Source organism: Homo sapiens, chromosome 1 (genome assembly GCF_000001405.40).
Source record: "Homo sapiens chromosome 1, GRCh38.p14 Primary Assembly".
Lineage (NCBI taxonomy): Eukaryota > Metazoa > Chordata > Mammalia > Primates > Hominidae > Homo > Homo sapiens.
Window position 1 is genome coordinate 241,723,638 of NC_000001.11, and position 12,761 is coordinate 241,736,398.

Sequence of the window (12,761 nt, forward strand, 5' to 3'; positions counted from 1 at the left end):
AAACAAGTGTAAAAGAAAAACAATATTGAAAAGATGGCAAATTTTACCCTCAAAAGTAAAACATAAGGGGCCTTTCAATAGATAGGAACATTAGGAAAAAAATGAGGATTTCTGTTATTAAACAGTGTTTGAAACATTCTAACCAATGTAATAAAACAAAAAAAAAGTTATAAATATTAGAATTCAGAGACTGAATTATATTTGCAAATAATGGGATTACCTGCTTGAAAAGAGATCAATACAATCAACTTTCAGTGTAGGAATAGATAAATTCCATAAGGTGGCTAGTTGCAATGGCAACCTAAAAATAAGATAAAATAAAAATTTCTAAAAAATAAATAAGGAAATAAATAAATAAATGTCTATATAAGAACAATAATTAGTGAGGAAAAAAGGTCAAAGAGATAGCATTCACAAGAGTAAAAAATATGCAATATTAGGAATAAACTTAACAGGCAATATTCACTACTAACATTAAGATAACTATGAAGTTTTACTGTGTTTAAGAACACAAATTAAGGGACATACTATGTTCCTACATGGAAATATTGTGCTGTAAGATATTCTCCATCAGTTTAATATATTTATTTATTGCTAGTCAGAATTACTTAAGTGTCAGCTTGCCAAGTTTAAAGTTAATGTAAAAATACTGGTATATAGGAATATCCTAGAAACTTTGGAAGATATAATTATGAGATGGCACTTTCCCTGTCCAATATTAAAGCATATCATAAAGCCAAAATAAATAAAACAGAGCAATAGTCAATGCAGAAATAATCACATCTATGAAGCAAAGGAGAAAATGCAGGAATTAGTTTATGTCTATGTGGGAATTTTGTATAGGACAGAAATAATGTTTCAAATATGTGAGCAAAGGATGGTTTGTTCAATAAGTGTTGGGAAAACTGATTAGCCATAAAGAAAGAAAGATGTAATCAGATCATGATTTCATAATATACAGCACAATACATTACATATGAATTAAAGATTTTAAATTTAAAATACAAAACCATAGAAATTCTAGATTTCCAGAAGAAAATATAGGTGAATAGTCTTATAACTTTTGGGTAATTCCTAAGCATAGCACCTATGACTAAGGAGAAAGTAAATATGACTAAATAAACATTCAAACTTTCTGTAAATTATAATAACTACCATTTATTGAGTGCTTAAGTGCCAGGCGCTGTGCTAAGTATTTTACATATGCAACTCATTGATGCTAATAACAACCCTATAAAGTAATTCTCCCCATTTTACACACGTCAGGGAAAATGACATCTAAATCACTTACACAAGGTCACAGAGCTATCTAGTGCCGAAGTGTGGTCAATCCCATATTTGCCCTTCCTCAGCCTGCCTCCCTATACTCATAAACAAAGTTAAAGGCAGACAGCAGGGGCAGGGGGCAAAAATGCAATAAAAAGCAGAGAAATTGGAAAAATATCCTTGAACAAATACCAAAAATCTTTAGCAAGTCAGTAGGGGAAAGAAAGTGGAGTGAAGGGCAAAGGTTTAAGAACACAGACAGGTTTACATACTGCTGGGTGGAAATAAAACTGGCAAAAACTTCCTGCGTATTTGTTCTAATAAAATAGCTAGATGAGTGTGCAAAGATCTGTATTAAAGGATGCTCAATGCACTATTGCTTATATTGATTTAAGAAGGAAAAAAGAAAAACAAGAAAATAGGGAGGAAACAGGAAATACAGAAAGGAAATGAAAGAGGGAAGGGAAGGGAAAGAAAAAAACCCGGTTGCTTTCCCTCCACGTCCCCCAGCCCCGCACCTCCCTCCTCGTACACCCCCTACCCCTCATACACCCTCTACCCGATGCAAAACCCTTCGATGGAAGCAATCGGGATCTCCAAGGCCCAGTCGTTCCCTCCATGCTCACGGAACTATGCGAATCTCCCTGGAGCCCATGCTTGCCATGTGCAACCACAAGGGAAAGACTCTAAGGACCTTTGAGGGGTTCCTCCCAGGCTAGAGAGGAAAATGCACCCGGCACCTGCCTCCTCCAGTTCACAACTGAGGACGTGACCTGACCTGCAGGATTCCCCAGCAGGCCAGCAGCCCTCACCTGCCAATATGGTAGCCACAAATTTTTAAAACATGGCTAGTCCGAATTGAGGTCCGCTGTGAGTGTAAAATACACAAGACTCCAAAGATTCACTATCCCCCCACTCCAAAAAAAAAACTCTCAATTTTTTGAGACAGGATCTTGCTCTGTCGTCCGGGCTAGAGTACAATGGCATGGTGCAATGGGGCTCATTGCAGCCTCGGGGCTCTCTGCTGTCTTGACCTACTGGGCTCGAGGGATCCTCCCACCTCAGCCTCCCCAGTAGCTGGGACTACAGGTGGGGGCCACCGTACGAAGCTAATTATTTTTATTTTTTGTAGAGAGCTCTCTTTTTTTTTTTTTAGGTCTGTCTAATTTGCTAATTTTTAAATTTTTGGTAGAGATGGGGTCTTGCTATGTTGCCCGAACTTCTGGGCTCAAGTGAGCCTCCTGCCTCAAAGCACTAGTATAGGCCTGAGCCATGGCACTGGGCCAATCGTTTTTATATTGATTATATATTGAGGTGATAATAATTTGGCTATATAGGGTTAAAAAATACATTAATAAAATTAATTTTTAAAAAAAGAGCAAGGGACTGCATGTAGTGGCTCATGCTTGTAATCCTGGCACTTTGGGAGGTCAAGGTGGGAGGATCGCTTGAGCCCAGGAGTTCAAGACCAGCCTGGGCAACATAGTGAGACACCATCTTTAAAAAAAGAGATTATGATAATGGTTGCACAACTATTTAAATTGACTAAAACTCACAGAACCTTACACTAAAAGCGGGTGAGTTTTAAGGTAAGTAGATTACACTTCAATATTGCAGTTGAAAAAGAGAGATAATTAGGGTGATGTACCAATAAAGTAAAATTCAAGAGGAAAAAAAGGCTTTGATTAAGTAAATTATGCTGTATCCTCATATACAATAGAAATATCACATAGACATTCAACATTATGTAAATGAATAGTCATATGAAAATATCTAAATAATATATAAAATACAATAATATGTAAGTAATCAATTTTAAATCAATTTTAAAACATAACGTGTCTATCATATGTTATTGGAAATGATTAATAGCAAGATGTTTTAGTGAGGCTAACAAGATTGTGGATATACATGGATGGATTTTTTTCTTTTGTTTTCTCTTTGTTTTTTTAAATAGTAAATATACATTACTTTGTAATAAGGACAAAGTTTTTTTTTTTGAGACGAAGTTTCATTCTTGTTGTCCAGGCTGGAGTGCAATGGCACCATCTCAGCTCACTGCAACCTCTGCCTCCCAGGTTCAAGCTATTCTCCTGCCTCAGCCTCCCAAGTAGCTGGGATTACAGGCTCCTGCCACCATGCCCAGCTCATTTTTGTATTTTTAGTAGAGACAGGGTTTCGTCATGTTGTCCAGGCTGGTCTTGAACTCCTGACCTCAGGTTATCCACCTGCCTCAGCCTCCCAAAGTGCTGGGATTACAGGTGTGAGCCACCGTGCCCAGCTTAGGAAATTTTAATTTTTTTAAGTAGTACTGGAAAGACAGTGAAGGTTTTGAGACACTAAAACTAAAAACATGTTACGATTGAGACCTGGAGTCTCCTACAGATAATTTAAAGAGAAATAAGATATCTTTCTAGCAAAAGTTGAGATCATTCATGCTCAGAGATGAAGAGACAGAAGAGAGAATCTTTCCTATTTCTTTTAAATGTAATGAGTGTATTAAGATGATACTCATTCATGCATCTCAGTAGCACCACTTGGGAAAATTACTTAATATCTTTCCATTTGGTTTCTTCATCTGTAAATGTAGGAATGTTTAGCCCAGAGGGCCATTATAAAGATGAAAGGAGGTCATTCATTTGGTTATTTAACAAATACTTATTTATTTATTGAGTGTCTATTGTGTTAGATACTGTTCTGAGTTCTGAGTTCTAGGGACAAAGCATTGAACAAGGAGGACCAGGGCCCTGCAATGAGAAAGTTGACATGCTAGGGGAAGAGACAGACAAACAAGCAAAGTAACAAGTACATAAGAAAACAGTATGATAAGTATGGTAAGAAATAGGAAACACAGGGCTGGGTGTAATGGCTCAAACCTGTAATCCCAGCACTTTGGGAGGTTGAGCCAGGAGGATTGCTTGAGGCCAGGAGTTCAAAACCAGCCTAGGCAAAATAGCAAGACCCCATCTCTACAAAAACAAAGAAAAAGAAGAAGAAAAGAAATAGAAAACATAGTGGTGCAGTGTGATTGAATCTCACCTCTGAGGAGGTGACATAAAAGCTGAAGCCTGAATGATCAGGGGAACCAGCCCCGTGAAGATCTAGGAAAAGGAAAAGGGCAATTTAGGCAGAAAGAAGAGCAAACTGGGCTGGGTGCCGCAGTTCATGCCTGTAATCCCAGCACTTTGGGAGGCTGAGGTGGGTGGATTATTTGAGGTTAGGAGTTCGAGATCAGCCTGGCCAACATGGTGGAACCCTGTCACTACTAAAACTACAAAAATTAGCCTGGCATGGTGGTAGGCACCTGTAACCCCAGCTACTTGGGAGGCTGAGGCAGGAGAATCGCTTGAACCTGGGAGGTGGAGGTTGCAGAGAGCCGAGATTGCACCACTGCACTCCAGCCTGGGCAATAGAGCGAGACTCAGTCTCAGAAAAGAAGAAGAAGAAAAAAAAAGCAAACTAGGCACATACATGTTTTTGGTTTTTTTATTGAAGCTATATTATTATTTACAGAAAAGGGAACAGACAACATCCCTTCAAACTCTTTCATATAAATTAGCTTTCATCACATTAAGCAGAAAGCATATAAATCGCCATGCATAGTTGTGTGCCCACTACATGCCTTTTCCTAAGCTCTTAAAATAGCAAGATTTTTATTCTTTCTCCTAATTTTGCAGTCTTTCCACCAGGATATTACTTTCTTCCCCAACTGCTAAAATTGTATGTCTAGTCACAGAGCCCAAGTATTGAACAGATGTGCCACATCTATTACACCTGAAGAAGAACTGACGAATGTTGAAAAATGCAGAGACAAATATAATCTTCACTTACTTTCATTTCATCAGCAAAACCAATGGGAGCAATGGTTGGAAACCTTCTCAAGCACAGTTCTATTGACCAAAAGGCTGATTCTCTTCTTCTTTTTTTTTTTCTATGAAGGGGAGAAATTTACATACTTTGATGATTTATAACAGATTACAAATGTATGTAAAAGTTGCTAATTTTCGTACATTTTCACTTTGGAAGTGGTATGTAGAAACCTGAGAAAAGGCAGTTTGACTAGATTGTGAGTGTGCATATCTTCAAAGGCAGTTATCTTTAAAAAAAATTCTGCCTACCTAAAACTGAATTTATTTTCTACTTCAAGTCTTCTCTTCCTTACTTCTGATTTTCCTCTAACTGTTAATGGTATCATTTGTTTCCCAGAGAGCCATAATCCAACTTCAAAGTCACCTTTGATCCTTCTATCTCTGTAAGCCTTGCCACTGGTCAGTTTGAAGTCTCTGAAATGTGTCTCCTGTAAATTACCTCATTCTTCTTCCCAGAGTCATGGCCTTAGTTCAGACCCATCCACCAAGGGGCTCCCAGTTGCAGGTGGCCCATTAGAAAGCACTTGTAGACCTCTTATCTTCAGTTTCTTCTCTCCCCAAACCATCCAGATATTGTACTGCCATGTTGATCCTCCTCCAACCCATTTATAACCTTGTCATTGCCTTCTCACATATATTCAAAGGCCCCTCATGCCTTACAAATAAAGTTCAGATTATTTTTTCTAGTTCTTAAGGTTCTCTAGGGTCTGGAACAAGAATATCTTTTCAGCTTTGTTTGGCTTCAGAAATTCCAAGCCTTACCAAATTCTTCTCCAAAGGCTTTGTGCATTCCCGTCTTTGTCTGAAACAATTCTCCTCCCATTCCCAGACATCCTATATATCCTTTACATCTAAGTGAAATATCATGTCATGCCCAAAGCCTTCACTAAGATAAAAATTGAGTTTTTTTTCCTTTTGGTGAGTGAGAAATGTGTAAATTTGAAATAAACCTGGAGATAGAAAAACTAACCTTTTAAAATGTTACCTTCAAGTTTTAAAAATTTGAAATCTTTCCTTGCTTTAGTTCCTTGTGCTTTCTGTTTGTATGGGATTATCATAAATGATGCAAGTTCAAATACTTTTCTTGTTTCTTTGATAATTGGAAACATCCATGATTGAGAACCTGGTTTCACTGCCTTCATATTTTACTACCTTTTGTCCTCATTCTGTGGCTTGGAACATTCCCTTTTGAGTAAACTGTTTGCAACATTCTTAAGAGTAAGACTTGTTTCAAAACTTTCCTGAGTGACTGTAGGAAAATTTTCTGGGGAAGACAAATATACTATGTATTATAAAACATAAAATGTGAGTGGCCATCTAGGAAGAAAAAATAAAAACTAAGAAAAAAGGGGTGAGGGCACATGCTTTGGAATTCAGTTCTCAACTTGCAATACTTTTTGCTTATGTGCAGGTCTTGTTGCTTTTTCTTTAGTTCATCACCCAGGACAGCTCCTTGACAACCTTCAAAGGAAGACCCTGTGGATAGCTCTGAGTCCTGGGAGCAAACATGCCTACCAAGACCAGGAAGCAGTCCCTATATAAGGCTTCCTTCTGAGTGTGGCTATCACACTTCTATAACCAGGAGCTCTTAGCTATGATTGCACATTTGCTTAAGATGAGGCAGGCTGTTTGTGATTGTTGCCCTTTGGGACTCTTTCCTTTGTAATTTTTATTGCGTTTCTGAGTGTCTTTATTTTATCCTCTAGACTTTCTCTAGACACCTCTACCAGCTTTCAGACCCCTTGCACACACACATACACATATTCACTACAGCCTCCCTAAGGTAACTATCTGGGTATTCTATTGACATTAACCTTTTATCTCTCACAAAATGTGGTTCCCTTGCATTGTTTCTTGGCTGGTAAACTGTGTCTCAGGGCTGTACAACTAGGAATCCCAACTTTCTACTGCATTAATATGTCAACCAATATATGACCCCCTGCTAAATGCTTGAGAGTGCATTAGGCTCTGTGCCTATTTATATTTTGATGTAATCTTTGTCAAAAAGAAGCTAAAAATCTAGTTGAGTAAATAAAGCATAGCTGCCCCAAATCTTTGATGACCAAACCTAGGAATGACATAGACATCAAGTTCAATTTTCCTGGTAAATTGGACTGGGAAAATTGAACTTGATTGTGCAACTTGAAATCAGGAAGTTATCAAACTGCCTGTAATCTTCTCAAAAGGCAAGGTTGATCTGGTATATCTCTCAAAACTCAAAATATTCACAACCTTTGACACAAACATTCTATTTGTAGGAATTTATCATTCAGTTATATCTATATTGCTTTACAAAGCCAGTGTACTTTACAAAAATATATGTGCAAAGAGGTTCACTACTGCTTTAATAAAAGAAAATAAAGAAATATAATACATATGAACAGGGAACTAATTACAATAAATTATGGAGCATTCACAAACAGAATACTATTCAGCCATTAAAAAATGAGACAAAGCCAGGTACAGTGGTGCATGCCTGCAGTCCCAGCTATGCAGGAGGCTGAAGCGGGAGGATCACTTGAGCTCAGGAGTTCAAGACCAACCTGGGCAACATAGAGATACCTCGTCTCTTAAAAAAAAAAAAATGAGATAAATCTAAGTACATAAATATGTCCTAACATAGATGTAAGCTCTTTATATGTATGAACTCATTTAACGTTCATAACGACCCTATGAGATAGGTTGAGATAGGTACTGTGTGATAACTACAAGTGTGATAACTAAGGCTCAGAGAAGTCAAGAGATTTGCCCAAGTGCACACAGTTATTGGACGTGAATCAGGATTCAACTGAGATAGTCTGCCTCCTGAGGTGGTATCTTCCAACAATTATTACCTAAGGAGTGGGACTGAGGAGTCCAGAGTTAAGTGGTAGGTGGGGAGGAGGACTTTCGTTTTTGTACTGTTTGAATCTGTGTACTAGGTACATTAGTTTGGTAATTAAAAAGTTAATTTTTAAAGACATGCTGGATGTCTTCATTTTCTATTTGCCAGTTATCACACAGGAAAAATGTGAAAACAAGATGATAAAATTAATAGGTTTAGTTCTACATACAGTGCTAAAAATATTTTTTCTTATTAAGTAATGTGTAAGAACTTAATAAATACATTTAGCATTGAATTTCCTAAACAGTGTTGAGTGCCTGCCATTTATACTGTACTGTCATACTGTCATACATACCCTGATTTTCAAATGTACCATTTGTATGTAGTACTATGTTAACACTCAAAAGAGTTTCATAATCTCATATATCTTCAGGCTCCTTAAGGTAAAATCATGTAATCAATTGAGTGACCCTGATTTGATTTATTTGGGGACTAAAAATCTCATTAGCCTCTTGTAGCCGTTGGGTAAAATTAGAAAGGCAGGCCAAATTCTGACTTTCCTTTACAATCAGAAAATGGTGAATTCCCCAGACCCCTTGCTCTATCTAAATGATACTGTGATTCTAATTCTAAAGATTTCTACTGGTACAATTTTCATTATGGAATAATGCTCAAACTTCTATTCAAGTGTTTCTTACAATGCAGTATCTATCTATCTATCTATCTATTTGTCATCTATCTACTCTCCTGGCAAGACTTAGATCTACTCAAGAACAACAGGGCTTCTATTAATCTTTGTATCTGTAACACCTAGGCTAGAATTTTGTAATTATTTGATGTATAATGAATTTTGTATGGCTTGTTAATGTTGTATCTTCTTATAAATCAGACATTCTGCTCTAGTCACTCTATAATAAACACCCATCAAAAAACAGATACCTGGCTGGGCGCAGTGGCTCACACCTGTAATCCCAACACTTTGGGAGGCTGAGGTGGGTGGATAACTTGAAGTCAGGAGTTTGAGACCAGCCTGGCCAACATGGTGAAACCCCGTCTCTACTAAAAATACAAAAATTAGCCAGGCGTGGTGGCGGGCTCCTGTAATCCCAGCTACTTGGGAGGCTGAGGCAGGAGAATCACTTGAACCTGAGAGGCAGAGGTTGCAGTGAGCTGAAATGGTGCCATTGCACTCCAGCCTGGGCAACAAGAGTGAAACTCTGTCAAAAAAAAAACCAAAAAAACAAAAAAACAAAAAACAAAACCCAGATACTTTATTAATACATTTGGACAATAATAATTGGCATAAAGTTTGCAGGAAGAAATGCCGGGAAATACAGTTGAATCAAAACAACCCTCACTTCGGGTACACACATGTATATATTTTCAAACTTCTTCTACTTCATCATTATTTATTAATTCTTACAAAAGGCTCCAGAAGTCTTTCTCTTGTCCTTTTCTTTGATATTTTGTGATAAGTGACTTCAATTACAAATTACCCTCAAAACACTTAATCAACCTTATAGTTGAATGTTTTTCCCATTGTTAAAAAAATCCCTCCATCTCACTCCATTCCCAATTTATCTGAAAATCATTATTGGCCAGGCACGGTGGCTCACACCTGTAATCCCAGCACTTTGGGGGGCCAAGGTGGATGGATCACCTGAAGTCAGGAGTTTAAGACTAGCCTGGCCAACATGGTGAAACCTCGTCTCTACTAAAACTACAAAAATTAGCTGGGTGTGGTGGCAGGTGCCTGTAATACCAGCTACTCGGGAAGCTCAGGCTGGAGAATTGCTTGAACCCGGGAGATGGAGGTTGCAGTGAGCCGAGATCATGCCATTGCACTCCAGCCTGGGCGACAAGAGCAAAACTCTGTCTCAAAAAAAAGAAAAGAAAAGAGAAGAGAAGAGAATCATCATTATTATTTTTACTGCTACTAGAAGATAAATTTTTAAAATAATTTCAGTTTATATGCATATAATTCATATATTATACATAATGCATATATACATATATGCACATATTATATGAATATAATATTTAATTTATTACTTATATACATATATGTATATAATATTTAATTTATAACTTATGAATGTTCCATTCTGCCCTGGCCTCTTTAGTAGAAGCCACCTGTCCTCCTTGATTTTCTCTACAAGTCTTAACAACATATCTCTGTCGTAAAGCCACTCAGTCTCCTTTTATACCAACTTAGTCTGCTTCTGCCATGTTCTGCCCTTTGTTTTCTTCCTAAACCCCCTCAGTGCTGACCTGGCTCCACTTCTGTCCTCCCAAGCTTTGCATCACTAATACCTGTCATAAGAACACTGACAACCTCTAGGGGAATAAGTGAAAGAAGACTAGAGCTTAATTAATACGTGAAGGGAAAGTAAGCCTTGGGGGGCTGAAAATCACTAAGCTAAAGGGAAAAGTCAATCTGGGAACTGCTTAGGGCAAACTTGCCTCCCATTCTATGCAAAGTCATCCCTCTGCTCACTGAGATAAATGCATATCTGATTGCCCTCCCAGGAAAGGCTCATCAGAAACTTAAAAGAATGCAACCTGTGTCTCTTACCTACCTGTGTCCTGGAAGCCTCCTTCCTGCTTGAGCTGTCCTGCCTTTCCGGACTTAACCAATGTACATCTTACATATATTAATTGATATCTCATGTCTCCCTAAAATGTATAAAACCAAGCTGTGCCCCGACCACCTTGGGTACATGTCGTGAGGACCCCCTGAGTGAGGCTATGTCATGGGCGTGTGTCCTCAACCTTGGCAAAATAAACTTTCTGAATTAACCTCTCTCAGATATTTGGGCTTCACAAATATCACTACTGTCTTTCCCCAAAGCAACTAATATATTGTGAACACCTAAGAATAAAGTAAATAGATTAGTTTTCTGAGGCTGTCCTATTTATTAATTGATTTATTAAATTTAAAATGTATTGTCTGTACAATGCGAAGCCATATAAATTCCTATTTGACCAAGACAGAGAATATGACCAAAAACTGACTAACCAATCAAGCTAAACAGAATACATAAGACATTGGGAAAAAAAAGAGTCAAATAGGCTGTGGTTCTTCCCCCGAGAGTTATAGTCTAGTAGAGAAGGCCACCGAATGAGTCATCATATTATAATTGCTAATTGCTATTAATATAGACAGATACTGTCATATGCTGCATAACCACGTTTCTGTCAACGATGGACTGCATATATGATGGTGATCATATAACTATACCATATAGCCTAGGTGTATGGTAAGCTATACCAGCTAGGTTTGTGTAAGTATACTCTATGATGTTCACACAATGACAAAATCACCTAAGGACACATTTCTCAGAACATACCCCTGTCCTTAAGCAGCACATGTCTATATCATGGGCATCTAGAGAAAGAGCATCTAATTGGAAGGGAGTGCAACGAAAGTTGTTTAAAGATTAATTTTTTTGAGTTTTTGTTAATTTTTAACCAGCACCATGTTTTTACAGCATTAGTGCAAGTGTCCCTGATATAGTTTTATTTTGCATGTTTTATATAATATTTATAGTGTAAATATTACAATGAATATACCCCACTGCAGTTTTTCCCTCAACACTCTGTTTTGATATTTATTCATGTTGTTACATATAGCTCTAGTTCATTTGTTTTAAATGCTGATGGAATCCTGTTGTATGAACGCAGCGCATATTATTTGTCTAACTTGGCCAATGAACATTTGAGTAGTTTCTACACTTTGTGTCTTTGTGTTGTTGCTTTGGTTGAACGGAAGTTTTTAATTTTAATTTTTAAAGTTTTTATGGCTTATGCTTTTTGTGCTTATTTAAGAAATCTCTTCCAACTCCGAAGTTCTTGAAGATACCCTCCTCTCCTATATTTTTCTAAAAAGTATAGTCTCCTTTTAATATTTAGTTCTCTGTCTCTCTCTCTCTCTCTCTTTTTTTTTTTTTTTTTTTGATACGGAATCTCGCTTTGTCATCCAGGCTAGAGTGCTGTAGTGCGATCTTGGCTCACTGCAACTTCCACCTCCTGGGTTCAAGCGATTCTCCTGTCTCAGCCTCCTGAGTAGCTGGGATTACAGGCGTGCACCATCATGCTCGACTAATTTTTGTATTTTTAGTAGAAACAGAGTTTTACCATGTTGGCCAGGCTGGTCTCCAACTCCTGACCTCAAGTGATCCGCCTGCCTCGGTGAGCCACTGCTCCCAGCCTGTCCTTCTCTTTCTATCTCTCTCTCTCTCTCTCTCTCTCTCTCTCTCTGTGTGTGTGTGTGTGTGTGTGTGTGTGTGTGTGTCTATATGCTCACTCCTTCCAATCTACACTTTCCTCTACCTGGTTCTTCAGGTCCCAGTTCAGAAATAGTTCTCGTCCCTGAGCCAGAGGTTACCTTGCTTTAGTTCCTGGTCAAAAAGTGATGTGCCCTACCCTCACTGGTCTCATATCTTTGAAAAAGCTACACATCCACATAAGGACAGAGCACAGCCTGTTGCTTTTCTGAATTGGAGGACATGCTGCTACCTCTGCTGTGGAGCCCAGGCATGGAGGTCTTCTGGTCCTGTCTGTCTGCAGAAGCTGCTCTGCTGCCACTGCCTGCTCCAGACCAAGCACCCAGGTCTCAGGCTTCAGCCCATTCATTGCTTTATGCTTCTCTCTTGTTTGGATCTAGGGAGATATATATCTTGCTTTGGAGCCCTGCTGTTTCTTTTTGCTTTTTTGAAGATATATTTTCTGTGTGTTTGGAGAAGAAATAGTTCATCAAAGCAAAAACTTTTAGCACTATTCTGACCTGAACTCTTTAGTTC

The 12,761-nt window shown here is 38.1% G+C and overlaps 1 protein-coding gene and 1 long non-coding RNA gene across 9 annotated transcripts in view; one reads left to right on the forward strand and one right to left on the reverse strand.

Annotated features, from left to right (window-relative positions):
- WDR64 (WD repeat domain 64) overlaps window positions 1-12,761 on the forward strand; it is a 150,497-nt gene that overhangs the window by 71,357 nt on the left and 66,379 nt on the right. The gene's annotated exons all lie outside the window — the stretch shown is intronic.
- The window catches only part of LOC124904603 (uncharacterized), an 81,624-nt gene that overhangs the window by 63,014 nt on the left and 5,849 nt on the right, over window positions 1-12,761 (reverse strand). The window contains exons 2-3 of one of the 2 annotated variants that reach the window (XR_007067054.1): window positions 5,098-5,197; window positions 221-301 (exon numbers count right to left, since the gene is read on the reverse strand). The exons of the other annotated variant lie outside the window; for it this stretch is intronic. This is a non-coding gene — a long non-coding RNA (uncharacterized LOC124904603). The remainder of the gene's footprint in view (window positions 1-220; window positions 302-5,097; window positions 5,198-12,761) is intronic. 2 annotated transcript variants of the gene reach the window in all.